We start from the raw sequence: 19,694 nt of genomic DNA, 5'->3' as shown, positions 1-19,694 counted from the left end.
CACTGGAGCAAGGTTGAGGAAGGGAAAGGGTACAATCCAATGGGCTATTAATTATTCATTGTTACTGTTGATAATAATAGTTATCATGCATTGAGATCCAACTGAGCATTGGCCACCCTACAAGGTAAAAATTATGTCTGTTTTACAGATGAAGAAACTGAGTTTCACATAGATTAGGTAAATTACCTAAAGCCATCCAGTTAATAAGTGACAGAACAGAGCTCTTGTTCAAACACTGGGCCCTTGACTCCAAAGCCTGCAGTTCCCAGCACCCCCAGGGTCACCAAAACCTGGCCTCTCCTGGGGGAGGTCAGGGCTGAGGCCAACAAGCCCAAGTCACACCCTTTACCACCTGGGACATGATTTTCTCCAGGTGAGCAATGTTTTCTTAAAAGAACAGGAGGACAGTAAATAATTAACTAAGACAGTTTCTCCCTCCCTGAAGCCAAGGTAGAACCTCCCCCCTACAGCCAACCCCCACTCTCCTCACTCCTGTTTCCTCTGGGCTCAAGTTTGTGGCCATTAAATAGAAGAGGAGAAAGTTTGAACCAGGCATGAAATATTTATCAGGTAATTACAATATGCAGATTCTGTTCCTAGGGGTGATTTATCTTTTTGGAAATATAGGAAAAGGTCCTGGAAACTTGTATCCTAATTGCTTGGCCTATTATTGTAGCAACCAGGTAGAAACTCCATTTACTATGTAATTACAAATTTTCCCACTACTGGAGGTATCTGCCTCTGCTTCTATCACTGGTGGTCTGGGGACCATATGCTTTTCTGATAAGAGATGAGCCTCTTAGAGGTCAATTTGTCAATTCCTCTGTCTCCTCTTTGGGTGGCCCCTTTGTAAATTCTAATAGCTATAGGAAATGAAAAAGGTGAGAGTCTCTGAAATTCTGGGATCTCAAGAGAAGCTAATTCTAAGTGAAAACCTCCCCGACTGAAGCAGTGCCACTGGTGAGGGGATGTCCAAGGTTGAGAAGCAGCTCTCAGCTGAGTATCCCTCCCCTCCCTTGCTCTGGCAGAAGTGTCAGCCCTCCCCTTATCTCTTGTATCATTTCCTAGGGCCTGCAACTCAACCTCTGGCTACACATTATCAACCTGGGGAGTTTTAAAAATCCAGATGCCCAGGCCCTACTACAGGCCAACCAAATTGGAATCTCTGGAGGTGGGACCCAGGCATCAGTATTTTAAAAAGCTTGTGGCCGGGCATGGTGGCTCACACCTGTAATCCCAGCACGTTGGGAGGCCAAGGTGGGCAGATTACCTGAGGTGAGGAGTTCGAGACCAGCCTGGCAAACATGGTGAAACCCCGTCTCTATTAAAAATACAAAAATTAGCTGGGCATGGTGGCAAGCACCTGTAATCCCAGCTACTCGGGAGGCTGAGGCAGGGATAATTGCTTGAACCCAGGAGGCAGAGGTTGTAGTGAGCCGAGATGTGCCACCGCACTCTAGCCTGGGCGACAAGAGCAAGACACCATCTCAAAAACAAAAATGAACAAACAAAAAAACTCGCTGGGGGTTCCAATGTGCAGCGAAAGTTGAGACCCTCTAGAGCTAATAGAAGAGTATCACTGCCTGGTAAATGGGCCCTGCTTATCTGCAAGACTGTGTAATTTTTATCCCTCCCTCTCTGGTGCTGGATGAGGCAATTCCTTCACTTTTTAGAACCTGAAGAACATCTCTCTTTCTTCACAAGAAGCTTGTAACACAATAACTACCACTTATCGAGCCCCTGCTGAATGCTTGGATCTATGCAAATAAAATTTAATCTGATCTACAGAACAACTCTATAAGGTCAGTGGGTATGTCTATTTTATGGATGGCTCAGAGAGGTTAAGTAATTTGCCCAAGTTTGTACAACTAGCAAGTGTCAGATCAGGGACTTGAATCACAAACCCATGCTTTTAACCCCTGTGGTACACTGCCTCTCACTTTCTCAAGGTCAGAAGGGAAGGGCTTCAGGTCCACCATATGAAGTGCCTACGGAATGTCTTGGGGAAGGAAAGACGAGAGAAGCAAGGAGAAGTATAGAGAAGCAGACAAGGGCTACACATGCATAGGGCATGGAGGGCAGAATGGTGGCTGGGAAAGACTGAAGAGGGTTTGTGGGGTTAAGAGGAGTTACCTGAAGGAGGGTGTGGTAAGCCAACAAGTGCATGGGAAGGGGGCAGTCGCTATGGAGATAGCTGGGGAGTGGGGGAACGGGGTCCAGGAGTGGGCGCCGGCAGTTGGAACATCCAGAACAGTGAGCAGTGCCCATCGTGGACTGGGTGGTTGGGGAGTGGGAGGGACCTCGTGTCAGAGGAGGGGTCTTTGTGAGCGTGCAGCAGTGAGGAATGCTCCGCCATGAATACTAAGGGCAAGAAGAGAAAGGGCCAGAGGGGGCTGGGTGATGTTTAGCTGCTGGGGTGATTAATGGGGGTGAACGGAGGGTGAAACTCAAGCCCTTCCAACGAAGATGGTGGGGAATGGTTGTCCAAGAACAACAGTGCACTGTTTCATGGAGAAAGCCAATGTCCAGGGGAGGGGTGGCTGAGAAAGATGCTAGGCACAGTTGCTCCTTCCCTTTTTTCCCAAGTTCTCTTGATTTACCACCAAACAGTAAATTAAACTATATTAGCCAGTTCCAGGGGACCCTCTGGATGGGCTTCCTACCTGCCTCCTGGCTTTGGAGAGACCAAGGAATGTTGGCATGGCTTGGAGAAAGAGTGAGTGAGGTCTGGGCTGAAAGCTGAGATGACTCCATGGACCACCCCCATCGTGGGGCACAAAATGGTAATGTGTTGGCAAGAGCCACTGGCTCCCTCTGGACCAGACAGGCACTGAGAGATACATGGGGGTTGGGACTTCAGGTGTCCTGTAGAAAGTGGTAGTGTTCTTAGAGCAGTTTTTAGAGAAGCCCCTTGGCCTCAGGGAGGGACACAGGGCTCCTTTTCTGTGAGAGAGAGAGAGTTGGGGGAACAAGGAGAGAGGGCTTCCCATGGCTCTGGTTTTAGGGTGTTGACCTGGGTTTGAAGAATGGAGATAAACCTTGTGGGAAATAACAGGTTTAAGCCACTCTCCCCTCATTTCCTACTGCTGTCTCTTCCTCTAGGTACAGCTGTTGGGAGCTGCATCTCCTACCCTCAGTCTCCCTGTCTGTGGTTCCAGAGGGAAGAAGAGGGGAAAAAAAGGATGAAGAGAATTGTTTCAGTGCTGGGGGAGGTGAGTTTACAGCAGGGATTTAGATGGGCATTACCTCATGGGATAGGAGCAATTTTCTCCCTCTCCAGGCCTCTCACAGATGTGAAACAACCGGCAGATCTGACTTTCCCACCCCTAACCATCAGAGGGGATGATATGACTTGAAACCTGTGCTTCTCGATTGAGAGGCTGGTGGGGGAAAGAGAGATCAGGAAAAGGGTCCAGATGTGTGTTCAGGGGTCCCCAGAGAGTTGAGGGAAACTAGCATCTCCTTAGGGTAAGGAAGACAAAATGACCATTCCTGATCCCAGATTGCTTAGATACTGTGCCTGGGAGTCCTCCCACCTCACCTTAATTCCTGTCTCCACACACAGCTTGGCCAAGTTTCTTCCCCTGTTGGAGTCTCACTCCCAATCCGCTACTCTATCTCTCCAGGAGCCTACAAAGCACTTTGAAATCCGAAGTTTGTGGGAAGTGGCTGTATTGCACAAATACTCTGAGGTGCAACATTACTTGACTGGTAATGAGGCAACCATCCCACCTAGGGCAGAGTTCAAGGACTGCCTTCAAGAGGGGCTGGCCTCAGTTTGCCTGTTACAGAAGCCAAGGGCTAACAGAGGCTCCCCTCTGCCTCACAAAGAAGGAGATAAATGGGTCCACTGGAGAGCAACGGTCACAATCAAGTCTTAATGATGAATTAATAATTCATAATTACCCCAGACTTGCAGATAAGCACAAGCCTACTGGAATTATTTCCCAGGGAGGAACACAGTCAGAAAGGGTAAGAAGGGGACTTCAGTACAGACATTACTTCCAGAGGCCGTTAAGTTCATTCCTCTGCTTCCCAACCAGAACCCGGAAGAGATTCATTAGCTTCCTTGGCTGATTCCTCCTAACAGCTACCACCCCCTGAGCTTCTAAACAGTGCCATATTGCCCCTCTGTTCTTCATAAGGCCAGAGGACCATTCCTACCAAAGTGACCTCAGAGCCTGGACTCTGGATTTCTGGCGTCTCTCTGTTCTCTGCTCCCCATTCTGCTATTTACATACGAGGTCCCCTGTAGGAGGGCCTGGTGCTAGGTGTCCCGGCGAGATGTGGACATCTTTCTGGCTCTTCTCCTTCTCTTATCTAAGTCCTCACATGGTGGGAAAATACCTCTCTAACGCTATGTAGAAAGAGAAGCAGGGAGTGCCCCTTCTAGCGTGGATGCCTTTGGTTCCCAGATCTGGATTTGAGGGGCTGGCTCTATCTCTTAAGACATTTACCTAGTATTGATAATGGAGATGGGGCCTAAATAGGGCTAGGGAGGCACACCCAACTCCCGACCCAGCTCTCTGCTGTTCCCCTTCCCAGTGCACACAATCCCAATTCCCACTCCAGAAATTTTTTTAAAAACATATCTTAAAAGAAACCTCGAAGAGCCAAGCAGACCCTCAGCTTCAAGGTATCTCCTCATTCTCTCTCTCTCTCGTTCGCTCTCTCTCTCTCTCTCTCTCTCTGTCTCTCTGAATCTACAAAGAAGGAGTGAGTTTTGTCTCTCCAAGTACTCAGAGCCTTAGATCACAAAGGGGCCTTAGATCCTGGTCTTTAGGAGATCTTTGACCACCACCTCTGCTGTGGCACGACCTTTGTCAAAATGCTAGAAAGAAGAGAGACTGGCTCTTAGACCAAGGGAATTTGGGATTTGAAAGGTCTTCCAATTACAATTCTATAGATTTCCTTCCCATTAGCCTTTTCATGTGCATCAAATGTAAATGGCAGGCTAAACCTACAGGATGAAGAGAGTTGAAAGACTGCTGTCTAAAAATGCCCTTTTCCAAATCTGTGGGTGCAGAAGCATATTGAAAAGCAGCTACCCAGCCTGGCGGTGTGGCACATGCCTGCAGTCTCACATACTTAAGAGGCTAAGGTGGGAGGACTACTTGAGCCCAGGAGTTTGAGGCTTCAGTAAACTATGATGGTGCCACAACAGTCCAGCCTGGGAAACAGAGCTGGACCACATTTCCAAAAAAAAAAAAAAAAAAAAAAAAAAGTAGTTACCCAGGTAAGGTGGATGATCAAGTACACCCAGTGAGAAGCACACAAACCTTACCCTTTGCCCAACTCTGCCCCTTACCTGGCCCATTTCTGGTCTCTAGAGGAGGATCAGTTAGGGGGTGTGACCCAAGTTACCCAGATAATTAACTGTGGAAGCACGATTTTTTTTTCACTCCTTTGGCCTCTAAATATGAGAGATCTTTACATCTCTTGCCTATCTCCCTCTTATTCTCTAACCTCTCTCCAACATGCACGCAAATCCTAGCAACAAAAAATCCTAAATATAGGAAGACAAACCTTCCTGACCTACCATTTTGGCCCACCTGCAACCCCTGTCCCCCGCACACCCACCCCCCAATTTTTTCCTCACCTGAGCCTCTGCTCTTCGCTTCTAAAATAAAAAAAAAGAAGGCTCCCTCTCCCTCTCCCCCTCCCCCTCCCTCTCCCCCTCCCCCTCCCTCTCCCTCTCCCCACGGTCTCCCTCTCCCTCTCTTTCCACAGTCTCCCTCTGATGCCGAGCCAAAGCTGGACTATACTGCTGCCATCTCGGCTCACTGCAACCTCCCTGCCTGATTCTCCTGCCTCAGCCTGCCGAGTGCCTGCGATTGCAGGCGAGCGCTGCCATGCCTGACTGGTTTTCGTATTTTTTTGGTGGAGACGGTGTTTCGCTGTGTTGGCCAGGCTGGTCTCCAGCTCCTAACCGCGAGTGATCCGCCAGCCTTGGCCTCCCGAGGTGCCGGGATTGCAGACGGAGTCTGGTTCACTCAGTGCTCAATGGTGCCCAGGCTGGAGTGCAGTGGCGTGATCTCGGCTCGCTACAACCTCCACCTCCCAGCCGCCTGCCTTGGCCTCCCAAAGTGCCAAGATTGCAGCCTCTGCCTGGCCGCCACCCCGTCTGGGAAGTGAGGAGCGTCTCTGCCTGGCCGCCCATCGTCTGGGATGTGAGGAGTCCCTCTGCCTGGCTGCCCAGTCTGGAAAGTGAGGAGCATCTCTGCTCGGCCGTCATCCCATCTAGGAAGTGAGGAGCGCCTCTTCCCGGCCACCATCCCATCTAGGAAGTGAGGAGTGTCTCTGCCCGGCCGCCCATCGTCTGAGATATGGGGAGCGCCTCTGCCCCGCTGCCCCGTCTGGGATGTGAGGAGCGCCTCTGCCCGGCCGCGACCCCATCTGGGAGGTGAGGAGCATCTCTGCCTGGCCGCCCTGTCTGAGAAGTGAGGAGACCCTCCGCCCGGCAGCTGCCCCATCTGAGAAGTGAGGAGCCCCTCCGCCCGGCAGCCGCCCTGTCTGGGACGTGAGGAGCGTCTCCGCCCGGCACCCCGTCCGGGAGGGAGGTGGGGGTCAGCCCCCGCCAGGCCAGCCACCCCATCCGGGAGGGAGGTGGGGGTCGGCCACCGCCCGGCCAGCCGCCCGGTCCGGGAGGGAGGTGGGGGGTCAGCCCCCGCCCGGCCAGCCGCCCCATCCGGGAGGGAGGTGGGGGTCGGCCACCGCCCGGCCAGCCTGGTCCGGGAGGGAGGTGGGGGGGGTCAGCCCCCGCCCGGCCAGCCGCCCCATCTGGGAGGTGAGGGGCGCCTCTGCCCGGCCGCCCCTACTGGGAAGTGAGGAGCCCCTCTGCCCGGCCACCACCCCGTCTGGGAAGTGTACCCAGAAGCTCATTGAGAACGGGCCATGATGACAATGGCAGTTTTGTGGAATAGAAAAGGGGGAAAGGTGGGGAAAAGATTGAGAAATCGGATGGTTGCTGTGTCTGTGTAGAAAGAAGTAGACATGGGAAACTTTTCATTTTGTTCTGTACTAAGAAAAATTCTTCTGCCTTGGGATCCTGTTGATCTATGACCTTACCCCCAACCTTGTGCTCTCTGAAACATGTGCTGTGTCCACTCAGGGTTAAATGGATTAAGGGTGGTGCAAGATGTGCTTTGTTAAACGGATGCTTGAAGGCAACATGCTCGTTAAGAGTCATCACCACTCCTTAATCTCAAGTACCCAGGGACACAAACACTGCGGAAGGCCGCAGGGTCCTCTGCCTAGGAAAACCAGAGACCTTTGTTCACTTGTTTATCTGCTGACCTTCCCTCCACTATTGTCCTATGACCCTGCCAAATCCCCCTCTGCGAGAAACACCCAAGAATGATCAATAAAATAAACAAACAAAAAACAAAAACAAACAAACAAACAAAAAGAGTAGAGTTGTCAGGTCAAACATAGGACCCTCAGTCAAATGTGAATTTCAGATAAACAGTGAATAATTTTTTTGGCAAAAAAAAAAAAAAAGAAGAAGAAGGAATTTTCAATAGTCCCACTTGTCAAGGGAAGACCATCTTTTAACCTTCAACAGCAGCGAAAGCCGTGTGAACTCTTGGTGAACCAAGATTGAAGTCATAAATCACGCATACAAAGGCGGCTGAGGAGGCTGGCGCGGGCTGCTGCACCTTTAACGCTTTCTGGGGCTGACAGGCGGCGGCCCAGCTAAAGTTCATAGCGCCCGGGGAGAGTCGCCTCCGCCTCCCCTCCCGCCCCCGCCTCCCCTCCCCCAGGCCGGCCCCGCCCCCGGCCCCGGACCAGTCCGCCGCAAGGCCGCCTGAGCTGCGAGCTGAGGAGGCCCCTTGGCTGTTCCTGCAAAGGGCCAGGGGGCGCATTTTCTCTCCTGCCAGCCAGCTCCAGCCTGGTCGTTTATTCCTGGACTTCCCTCATCCCCCACCCCCACAGCCTGCTGTATGTAAATAGGGAAATAGATCTACACGGACACAATAATTTAGCTTGTTTGGTCTTTGGCATTTTCTACAAGACCCCAAGAGATGGACTTTCCTCTCCCCTTCCTCCTTTTAGAAATGGCATCCTTCATCACTGTCTATGCATGCCCAATTATCCAGATCCCCGGGGCTCCAATAGGGTCTGAGTCATTGGAACCAGGAACACCTGGCTGAAACATGCCACATAATTAGATTTTCTTTTTCTTTACCTTTTCTTTCTTATTTTTATAAGAGGGCCGGAATTAGTCTCTTCGACTGGGGCGGAGTAGCTGGGATGTGGGAAAGGAACATCTTCATACAACTTCCAGCTTTCAGCCCCTTGGAGAGATCTCCAAGTTCCCCCGAGCCGCCAGGACTTCCTTTCCTCGATCTCTCGGCCGCCTCCTCCTCCTTCTCCGATCTTTTTTCCCCCTCCCCCCACTGTCTTCTCTATGGTTAAATTAAAGTTCAGCGTCTCCACTTGCCTCTCCTCTCATTTCTTTCGGAAAGCGGAAACCAGACGACCCAGCGGCCATGGGACGAGCCGCCCCAACTCAACCCCAGCAGGACGCTGGAGGGGCCTCCCTCCCCCGCCTCTCTTCGCCGGCGCTGGCCTCCCGCACCCGGGTCTGCAGTCCCTCCGCCATCTCGCAGGTGTGCGGCCGCTAGGCCTGGGGGATCCGAATGACTGGGGCTGGATAGGAATGCCTTCGTGTTTCCCAAGACCCCTGGGCCTGCTCCACAAAGTTTGAAGGGTGGGTACACACCAACCCAGGCAAGTTGCTCCCCCAAACCCATGACTGACTAATCTGATATGACAAAAGCCCATGATGGATTTGGTATATGTTAATTCACAATGCCCTTTCCTCCAGAATTTAACTATAAGTTAATACACACCGGAAACCACGCGCATACACGCTCCTTAATGGGCTTAGGTATTAGCGAGTCCTAACGATGCATACAAATGTGCTCTGCGCTCTGTAGAACCCTCAAGATTTATGTGCCTTGAGCTCTCTGAAGCTGTAAACAAGGAGAAAAAAAAAAAGAGAAAGCGAAAGCGACTGGGGGGAAGAGACAGAGGCCTGACTCGCCCCTCCAGGTTGTGGAGAGAAGGGATTCTTTATGTATTTTCCTTTCCTTGCAAGCTCGGTGCGTGTGGGTTTTGGCGTTGGTCTGGGGGTGGTGTTCTGCCTGAATGCTGGTGTGCGTGGGCAGTGTGTTGTTTGAGTGCTGCGGTAGGATGCCTGCCTCTTCGGATTGCTGTGCAGGGGCCTGAACACAGCAGGCATTTGTGAGCATATATGCATGAGTGTGCACTGTGTTAGGGTGTGTGTGTGTGTATGTGCGTGTGAGAAAGAGAGAGAGACAGAGAGGGAGAGGCAGGCTTCCCCCTGGGCCAGGCTGCTGTCCCCTGAACAGTGGTGAACAAATCTCTAACAACAATCATAATAACAATAAATAATGAATAATAATAATAAAACAGTAGTTAACAGTCCCTCCATAACAGAATAACAATAAAATGCAAGAGGAAATATTTTGAGGTGGAGACAGAAGGAGTCAGGATCACAGCATCTGAGGGGGAGATAGGAAAGGAAGGGAGGAAGAAATCTTAATATGCTCTTGGTGGGGCTGGGGTTGGGAACCCCTTTCCCAGACAAGGGACGGAAGAGGGGAAGGAGAGCCAGAGACCACTCTTTATTGCTTTTTTTCTCAGGCTTCTGCTTTGTGTGATCAGAGAAGGGATCCCACATATGGGAATGGTTAGTGGCTTTTGGGACTCTCCAGGAGCCTCTGTTTTAAGAATGAGGCCAAATGTGCAGGCTCAGGCCAAGCGGCAGAGATGAATGAGGTGATGACCACAGCCTTGATCCGGCAGGAGCTCAGAGATGCCCGGGAAGACGGGGGGCCCGAACGGAAGCAGAAAAACACTTATGGCCGCTGGGAAGTTGGGAGAGCGAGGCTGGGGCTCTGGCAGGCCCAGGGAAAGTTCCCTGTCTAGGCTCTTTATTAAAAAATTTAAAAGGAGGAGTTGAGGCACCTTGAATATTCCTTCGCGAGTTTGGAGACTAGCCGATTTTTCATGAAGCAAGCAAAGACCGCGGTCCCGGATCCTGCAACTTCTACCTCATTTTCTCCAGGTACAGTTTTCTGGTCGTTTAATTAGTTTGTTTTCTTGGCGGTGATGGGAATCACAGGCGTAGAGATAATAAGTTTGCTAGAGAGGAAGCCACCCCACAGTTTCGGGTCTAACAAAATCCCTCCTTTAAAAACATTTGTACCCCCAATAAAAATAAAATTAAAGAGGAATATAGAAGCACAAATTAGCCAACTTTTTTAAAAGAGAAAAAAGAAAAGAAAATCATCGTAACAAATGAGCGTGAGAACTTCTAAAAAATTTGTCACGAACCCTTTCAGAGGTCTGGATTCTTTTCCAGTAGCCAGTGACACATTTGGTCTGAAAAGAGAAATACACTATCCACTGAGTCACTTATTTAAAGCCAGCACACACACACACACACACACACACACACACACACACACACACACACACAGACACGCATTCAGAAAGCTCTGGGTGCCCTCACATTTGAAAACAACACCTGGTGGAGGACGCTGCGATACCTAATTGGACAAACAGCAATAAAATAAGACCAGTGGAAGTGCTGAGCACAGGGCGCAGGGCTAGGGCCCAGGTTTTGTGTTCAGGCCTGCGGCGAGGCAGCGGCCCTGGGCGATGGGGCGCCGGGCGGTCAGGCACCGGCTGGCGACTCCGCTAGGCCTCCGAAGCCCGGCCTGCAGACCCTTTCTCCCAACCTCTGTGCCTCGTGGGCTCTCTCCGCTCCGACGCCTGGTCGGGGCTTCCCTGTTGAGAGGGTTTTAGGCAGAAGGGCCAAACGACTCAAGCCAGACTCTGCTTTTTCATTTTTCTCCCTTAGGCCTCTCCACTTGCCCGAGCTCTCAGCCACCAGGAGACAGACGGAAGGGGCTTCTGGATTGCGTTGGGAGCGGGCACTGTCCCCTACCCACTCCTGCTCAGTTTCCCAAAGTCCAGCGACTTCCGACCCTCCTTGGGGGGAAAAATACCAGTACCCAGACACCTTTGCACCCTGTTATATGACTGGGCTTGCTTCAGGAATATCTTACAAAGAAGAAGAAGAAGAAAGAACGGCTTGGAGTCATGTTTACATCTAGTTCTACTGATCCGTTCACATCTGGAGAGTTTATTTATAACTCCCTCTATAACTCTCTGTTTGGAGACACTGTGGCTCTATTGACAGACTGATATCTAGGAAATATTGCTCTATGTCTAACCGTACCTAAATGTGCTGTGGTTGTATTTACAGATTTATGTTTGAGGGAAATATAACTATTTCCATTGTATTTGTGCATATACAGTAGTTATAGGAGCAGATTTATATATGGGAAAATATACGACTCTCTTACAGCCATCCAGCTTTATGTACATTTGATATCCTGACAGATTTATATCTCTGAACAGCTATATAGATAAAAACGTATATTGTTAGAATTATGTATCAGAAGATATATACTTATTGATTGTGAAATAGAGTAGTTAGAGCATTCATTTAGAGCCATATATGGCTATGGAGATATTGCTATATTATTATCACTATATATAGGCATATCTATTTATAACTACATAGTTATAAAAATACATATAAGTAATTACAGTCCTATATGTGCATGCTGCAATCTCTCTCTAGAGTTATAGACACTTTCAAATATAACTCTATAGAGAGATCTGTATGCATATAAGGTGTAATTATCTTGTGATGTGTTTACATTGGGACTTAGGCCCGTCTGTCTAGAACACACATATTTATATGTAGGGGCTGGGAGAGACTTGTTCATAGATATCTGCAGAGGGCCAACTGGAAACACTGTATCTGCCCTCTAGGAAACCAGCTAGGAGAGTTGTGTACTTACGGAGGGATGGAGTTACAAAAGGTAAATAGAGCTTAGTGAGCCTTAAGGAGGGGAGGTGAATGGAGGGTGGGTAGGTGGTGGGCTCCCCCAGGCGGAGACGGGGGAAGCAGCAGGGGCTCCCAGCCTCAGGCCTGCCCGGACGGTGTTGGTTGGAGTGAGTCTCCCCAAATGTCGTGCCGCCGTCCGTGATCTCGAGGACCGGTTGGCCTGCGTGCCCCTGGGCTGCTCTTTCACCCGAGGGTCGTTCTGGTTGACAGCAGAACCCCGCAGCCTCAGGGGTTGCCTGGTGGTGTGTGTTTCAATGCCTCTGCTGTATGACCCTTTGTTTGTGTGTGTGTGTGTCTCCCATTCTCCCTTCTCTCTCTGTCTCTCAGTCTCTGTGTGTTTCTTTCCCACTCTCTGTGGGTTTGTGTGTGTGTGCCCGTGTGCTTGTGTGTCTTTGGCTGAATATGCCCTGTGAACCACAGAGCTGTCTCTTGCATGGCGGCCTGTCTTTGTTGAACCTCTTTCTGTGTCTCTGCCTGGGTCATGAGGCCGGTTGTCAATCGTTTTCGCCCCCGCGGATCTGCTTTGGCTGCGTGAAAGCCTGGCCCACGTGAGAAGATGCGTCGGTCTTGGAGCAATTGCTGTCTCGTCCCCATCCTGAGCGTCCTCTTTTCTAGCATCAAGAGGAACACACTGCAGATGAGGACAAGAGCCCCACAGGAGCTCTTTGTCCCACAGGAGATCAGCGGACCCACGTCAGAGAAGATGTTTGAGTCTTTTCGCGGCTCTTCTCTGAGAAATGAAGCCACACCACGATACAGTCAGCAAGAGGAAGCCAGGAATGAGAGATGGCAACAATCCCTGTCCCTGGAACGCTGGCCTCCCTGCACAAGCCACCCTTTAGGAACCCCACCCCTTATGCCTGTGACGGTGGCAAGGTGCTGTATCCTGCCTGGGCTCCGGCCTCTGCTCTGTCCTCCCTCTTGCTCTGCCTCCCCTGTTTCTCAGGGACCTGGATGCCTCTCGCTCTGGCCAAATGCCTTCAACTAAGATGACTTCCCACTCCGTCAGGGAGACACTTCCTGGAGACCCGTGTCGTGATTGTTTGTCTCTCCAAATGTGTTTCTGCTTGATTGGGCAGGTCTCATGGCCCGGGAACACTTGGCTTCCATAGGTGTCTCAGGCAGGTGTCTTCTCCACGTTTCCCCTCATGGGTGGGTGGATTACCTAGAATGAGCGCTAGGCGACCGTGACTGGCCTTGTCTTCCACGACAGGTGGTGTCGCATTTCCTCTGCACTTCCTGTCTCATTCTTGAGGGACATCCTCTCCTCTGCTCCTGGGTGGACTGAACCCCTTGATCTTCTGGCCGAAACGAATGTAAGGGAAACAAAGGGACTGGTCTAGGGCTGGGGGCTGGGGCTGGGGCTCTGTGCAGCCGAAGTTGCGTCAGGGCTGCCAGGGCCTTGGAGGGTTGGGGTTGGGGCGAATTTTGCAGAAACCTCTTTGCTCCTCCGGTAGGCATTCGAAAACGTGGCTTGGGTCAGTCACAGGCCCCCCCCACACCCCTCGGGTCCCAGGTGTTTTCGATTTTCCTTGGCATTGATGGAAATGTCACCTGTTTTCCCCTTCCACCGGCACACGCCTGGACAACACCCTTTGTTTCGCCGTCGCCCCGTATGCCTCCGGTGACACACGTTAACACCAACTGCTGTGGGATAGGCCAGGGCCACGCGTAGTCACATGGTCTCTGCCTCGGGTTTGCTCCTGTTCCTCTTTGCAGGTGTCCTGTAAAGCCCTGTCGGCTTACCGGAGCCCCAGGGCTTTTAGAAGTGGGGCAGGCCACTGCTCTTTCAAAGGAGGAGGGCATTGAAAAACACACCTCCAGGCAATCCCTGAGGCTATGGGGTTCTGCTCTCGATGAGAACGACCCTCGGGCGAGAGAGCAGCCCAGGGGCATGCAGGCCGAACTGTCCTAGAGATCACGGACCGAGGCACGAATTCTGGGGAGACTCACCCCAACCAACACCATCCGGGCAGGCCTGAGGCTGGGTTCCTGTGCTGCTTCCCCCGTCTCCGCTGGGCTTTCCTCATGGTGGTCGGCCCTTTGCGACTCCTGGCATCTGGAGACATTCCCGTCGACCCCGTGAAGTTGTTAGGCCGGAGCCTCAGATCCCCGAAACCCAAGCACGCCAGGGAGGGCTCCTGCTTCGCCAAGCCTCGGAGACTGGTTTCTAAGACAACCGTGGGAACCACTGTGACGGGAGAAGCCGCTCGCGCCTCGCGCATGCGCATTGGGTGAGACGATTTGCGCTCCACTCCTGAGAGATAGGCTGCGTCCCCTTTAAATATCGCCACTGCCGCGCGGCGGCCGCGATGCTCCTGCTGCCGCCGCGGCGGCGGCTGGATCCTGGGTCCTGTTTGGGGTGGCGTGGGAGAGGGGGCCGCGGGTGTCTCGTCCTGTCCCAGGCCCAAACCCCCAGGAGTCCTGTCCTCAGGACCTCCTTGAGCCGACTTCCACTGAGGGAGGGGGAGCTTCAGGACGCCTGCTGTGTTCTCCGGACTCCCGTTGAGATCCGATTTTGGCCCCCTCCCAGTGAGATAGGATGGGCTCACCACATCTGGTGAGGCAGACAGGGCCTCGCTGTAGCACAGAATGATCCCGTAGGTCTCAAGGCCTGGTGTCAGCTGCAAATTCACTGATCCATCAGCCCTCTGCCTCCCTCCTCCTTTGAAAGAGCAGTGGCCTGCCCCGCTTCTAAAAGCCCTGGGGATCCGGAAAGCCGACCGCGCTTTACAGGTCAACTGCAAAGAGGAACAGAGGCGAATCCTAGGTGGAGACCATGTGACCACGCGTGGCACTGGCCTATCCCACAGCAGTTGGTGTTAATGTGTGTCACCGGAGGCATACAGGGCGATGGCGAAACAAAGGGTGCTGTCCAGGCATGTGCAGGTGGAAGGGGGAAACAGGTGACCTTTCCATCAATGCCAAGGAAAATCAAAGAACACCTGTGACCCCGTGGGTCGGGGTGCTGCCTGTGCCTGAGCCAAGCCACGTTTTCAAATGCCTACCGGAGGAGCAAAGAGGTTTCTGCAAAATTCGCAACAACCCCAATCCTCCACCAACCCGGTAGCCCTGACGCAACATCGGCTGCACCCAGCCCCAGCCCCAGTCCCAGCCCCCAGCCCTAGCCCAGTCCCTTTGGTTCCCTGACATTCGTTTTGGCCAGAAGATCAAGGGAGTCAGTCCACCCAGGAGCAGAGGAGAGGATGTCCCTCAAGAATGAGACAGGAAGTGCAGAGGAAATGCGACACCACCTGTCGTGGAAGACAAGGCCAGTCACGGTCGCCTAGAGCTCATTCTAGGCAATCCACCCACCCATGAGGGGAAATGTGGAGAAGAAGGAAGCTTCCCTGCCTGAGACACCTATGGAAGCCAAGAGCTCCCGGGTCATTAGACCTACCCAATCAAGCGGAAATACTTTTTGAAAGAGAAACAATCACGACACGGGTCTCCAGGAAGTGTCTCCCTGACGGAGTGGGAAGTCATCTTTGTTGAAGGCATTTGGCCAGAGCGAGAGGCATCCAGGCCCCTGAGAAACAGGGGAGGCAGAGCAAGAGGGAGGACAGAGCAGAGGCCGGAGCCCAGGCAGGATACAGCACCTTGCCACCGTCACAGGCATAAGGGGTGGGGTTCCTAAAGGGTGGCTTGTGCAGGGAGGCCAGCGTTCCAGGGACAGGGATTGTTGCCATCTCTCATTCCTGGCTTCCTCTTGCTGACTGTATCGTGGTGTGGCTTCATTTCTCAGAGAAGAGCCATGAAAAGACACAAGCATCTTCTCTGACGTGGGTCCGCTGCTCTCCTGTGGGACAAAGAGCTCCTGTTGGGGCTCTTGTCCTCGTCTGCAGTGGGTTCATCTTGATCCTAGAAAAGAGGCCACTCAGGATGGGGATGAGACTTCAATTGCTCCGGGACCGAAGCATCTCCTCACGTGGGCCAGGCTTTCACCCACCCAAAGCAGATCTGCGGGGGCGAAAATGATTGACAACCGGCCTCATGACCCAGGCAGAGACGCAGAAAGAGGCTCAACAAAGACAGGCCGCCATGCGAGAAACCGCTGTGTGGTGCACAGGGCACATTCAGCCAAAGACACACACGCACAAGGGCACACACACACAAACCCACAGAGAGTGGGAAAGAAACACACAGAGACTGAGAGACAGAGAGAGAAGAGAGAATGGGAGACACACACACAGACACACACAGGCTCACACACACACATACACACACAGACTCACACACAGAGTCATCCAGCAGAAGTATTGAAATACACACCCCCAGGTAACCCCTGAGACTGCGGGATTCTACTCTCGACGAGAACGACCCTCGGATGAGAGAGCAGCCCAGGGGCACGCAGGCCGACCTGTCTTAGAGATCACGGATGGCGGCACGACTTTTGGGGAGAGTCAACCCAACCAACACGGTCCGGGCAGGCCTGAGGCTGGGATGCTGTGCTGCTTTTCCCGGACTCCGCCTGGGGTTTCCTCATCCTGTTTGGCGCTTTGCGACTCCTGGCATCTGGAGACGTTCCCGTCGACCCCGTGGAGAGGTCAGGCCGGAGCCTCAGAACCCTGACACCCATGGACTGCCGCGGAGGGCTCCTGCTTTTCTAAGCCTCGGGGACTGGTTTCTAAGACAACCGTGGAACCACTGTGATGGGAAAAGCCACTCGCGCCTCGCCCAGGAGCATTGGCTGGGCGGACTCGCGCTCCGCTCCTGGCAGTCAGGCTGCGTCCCCTTTAAATAATGGCAGCGCTGCGGGGTGGCAGCGAGGCTCCTGCTGCAGCCGCGGAGTCGGCTGCATCCGGGGTCCAATTTGAGGCAGCGTGGGAGAGGGGCCCCGGGTATATTGTCCCAGGGCAAAAGCCCCAGGAGTCCTGTCCTCAGGACCTCCTTGAGCCGACTTCCACCGATGGAGCGGGAGCTTCAGGAGGCTTGCTGTGTTCTCAGGACTCCCCTTCAGATCCATTTTGGCCTGCTGAATGAGATAGGATGGGCTCACTACATCTGGTGAGGCCGTAGGGCCTCGCTGCAGCACAGAATAATCCCATAAGTCTCAAGGCCTAGTGTCAGCTGCACTTTCACTGATCCATCAGCCCTCTGCTTCCTTCCTCCTTTGAAAGAGCAGTGGCCTGCCCCGCTTCTAAAAGCCCTGGGGCTCCGGAAAGCCGACCGCGCTTTATGGGACTGGTAGAAAGAGGATCAGGGGTGAATCCGAGATGGAGACCATGTGACCACGCGTGGCACTGGTGTATCCCACAGCAGATGGTGTGAATGTGTGTCACCGGAGGCATACATTGTGATGGCGAAACCAACAATGGTGTCCAGGAATGTGCCCGGTCGAAGGGGGGAATGAGTGACCTTTCCATCAATGCCAAGGAAAATCAAAGAACACCTGGGAACGAGGAGGGTGCCTGTGCCTTAGTCCAAGCCACATTTTGAAATGCCTGCCAGAGGATTAAAGAGGTTTTGGCAAAATTCACCCCACCCCCAACCCTCCATGGCCCAGGTAGCCCTGACCCAACCTCCCCTGCAACCAGCCGCAGACCCAGCCCCAGCCCCAGCCCAGTCCCTTTGGTTCCTTTCCCCGACATTCGTTATGGTCAAAAGATCCAGAGACTCAGTCCACCCAGGAGCAGAGGAGAGGATGTCTCTCACGAATGAGACATGAAGTGCAGAGGAAATGCGACACCACCTGTCCTAGAAGACAAGGTCTGTCACGGTCGACTAGCGCTCATTCCAGGCAATCCACCCACCCATGAGGTGAAACACGGAGAGGAAGGAAGCTTCCCTGTCTGAGAGAAGTATGGAAGCCAAGAGCTCCAGGGTCGTCTATCCTGCCCCATCAAGCAGAAACAGGTTGAAAGAGATAAACGATCACGACAGGGATCTCCAGTAAGTGTCTACCTGACGGACTGGGTTGTGATCATTGTTGAAGACATTCAGCGAGAGCGAGAGGCATCTAGGCCCCTCAGAAACAGGGGAGACAGAGCAAGAGGCAGGACAAAGCAGAGGCCAAAGCCCAGGCAGGATACAGCACTGTGCCACTGCCACGGCCATGAGGGGAGGGGTACCAAAAAGGTGGCTTTTCCAGAAAGGCCAGCGTTCCAGTGACTATCTGTGAAAATGCTTTGTGATGCGTGGGTTATCCCTCAGAGTTAAACATTTGTTTTGACTTAGCAGTTTGGAAACACTCTTTTTTAAGAATCAATGAAGGGATATTTTGAAGCCCATGGATGAGTATATTGAGAAACTAAATATCCCACCATAGAAACTAGCAAGAAATTATTAGTGAAAATGCTCTGTGATGTGTGGATTCATCTCACAGAGTTAGACTTTTGTTTTTATTCTGCAGGTTTCAAACACTTTTTTGTGGAATCTACAAAGGAACATTTCAGAGCCCACAGAGGCCTATAGTGAAAACTGAATATCTTGTGATAAAAGCTAGAAACAAGCTATCTGTGAAAATGTTTGTGATGTGTGGATTTATCTCATAGAGTTATACCTATGTTTATATACAGCAGGTTGGAAACACTCTTTTAGTAGAATTTAAAATAAGAAATTTCTGAGTCCTTGAGGCCTATTATAAAGAAATGAATATCCCTGATAAAAACTGACAACAAATTATCTGTGAAAATGCTTTGAGATATGTGGATTCATCTCGCAAAGTTAAACCCTTGTTTTGGTTCAGAAGGTTGAAAATACTCTTTTTGTAATATCTATGAAGGGATATTTTGGAGCCCATAGAGGCCTATACTAAAAACCAAATATCCCAGGATAAAAACTAGAAACAAGGTATGTGAGAAAATGTTTTGCAATGTGTAGAATCATCTCACAGAGTTAAACCTTGTTTTGATTGGGCAGGTTGGAAACATTCTTTTTGTAGAATAAAAGAAGGGACATTTTGGAGCTCATTGAGGCCTATAGTGAAAAACCACATATGCCATGATAAAAACTAGAACAAGCTATCTGTAAAAATCTTTTGCAATGTGTGGTTTCATCTCACAGAGTTTAACCTTTATTTTGACTTAGCGCTTTGGAAACACTATTTTTCTAGAATCTGCAAGGGTACATTTCAAACCCAATGAGGCCTGTAGTAAAAAACTGAATATCCCACGATGAAAACTAGAAACTAGCTATCTGTGAAAATGCTTTGAGATGTGTGGATTCATCTAATGGAGTTGAATGTTAGTTTTGATTCAGCAGGTTGGAAACTTAGCAGTTTGGAAACATTCATTTTGTAGAATCAAAGAGGGGACTTTTCTTAGCCCCCTGAGGCCTATAGTGAAAAATCAAATATCCCGTGATAAAAACTAGAAACAAGTTATCTGTAAAAATGCTTTGCAATTTGTGGATTTGTCTCACAATGTTAAACCTTTGTTTTGATTTAGTAGGTTGGAAACTCTCTTTTTGTACAATTGATGAGGAGATATTTCAAAGCCCATTGATTGAGGCTTGTAGTGAAAAACCTAAAATCCTAATAAACACTATAAAGAAGCTGTCTCTGAAAATGCTTTGAGATGTGTGATTTCAACTTATAGAGTTAAATCTTTCTTTTTATTCAGCAGGTTGGAAACATTCTTATTGTAGAATATACGACAGGACATTTCAGAGCAAATTGAGGCCTGTAGTGAAAAACAGAATATATTGTGATAAAAGCTAGAAACAAGGTATCTGTAAAAATGCTTTGTGATGTGTAGTTTTATCATACAAAGTTAAACCCTTGTATTGCATCAGCAGGTTG

At 51.1% G+C, this 19,694-nt stretch overlaps 3 long non-coding RNA genes across 3 annotated transcripts, besides 1 other annotated feature; all 3 read left to right on the top strand.

Moving 5' to 3' along the window:
* Window positions 1-484: 484 nt before the first annotated feature.
* On the top strand, window positions 485-6,055 carry LOC105372586 (uncharacterized). Its single transcript, XR_007067753.1, has 4 exons — window positions 485-570; window positions 1,674-1,802; window positions 3,103-3,212; window positions 5,731-6,055. It is a non-coding gene; the product is annotated as an uncharacterized LOC105372586 (long non-coding RNA).
* Window positions 7,534-7,734: a silencer, noted in NCBI's record as "fragment chr20:29525309-29525509 (GRCh37/hg19 assembly coordinates)". NCBI's record gives its function as "represses an EF-1alpha promoter that drives an FKBP-Casp9 reporter gene in an ReSE screen in HepG2 liver carcinoma cells and phorbol 12-myristate 13-acetate-treated (for megakaryocytic differentiation) K562 erythroleukemia cells {active_cell/tissue: HepG2 | K562(+PMA)}" and the evidence as "EXISTENCE:reporter gene assay evidence [ECO:0000049][PMID:32094911]".
* Window positions 8,399-11,339, top strand: LOC107985433 (putative uncharacterized protein LOC401522). The gene is made up of 3 exons (NR_171672.1): window positions 8,399-8,612; window positions 9,982-10,096; window positions 10,895-11,339. It is a non-coding gene; the product is annotated as a putative uncharacterized protein LOC401522 (long non-coding RNA).
* A 490-nt stretch (window positions 11,340-11,829) lies between these two features.
* Window positions 11,830-19,461, top strand: LINC01597 (long intergenic non-protein coding RNA 1597). Its single transcript, NR_145432.2, has 2 exons — window positions 11,830-11,927; window positions 16,232-19,461. It is a non-coding gene; the product is annotated as a long intergenic non-protein coding RNA 1597 (long non-coding RNA).
* The last annotated feature ends 233 nt before the right edge of the window (window positions 19,462-19,694 follow it).

This window comes from Homo sapiens, chromosome 20, assembly GCF_000001405.40.
Source record: "Homo sapiens chromosome 20, GRCh38.p14 Primary Assembly".
Lineage (NCBI taxonomy): Eukaryota > Metazoa > Chordata > Mammalia > Primates > Hominidae > Homo > Homo sapiens.
This window is presented reverse-complemented; position numbering and strand designations above follow the sequence as displayed.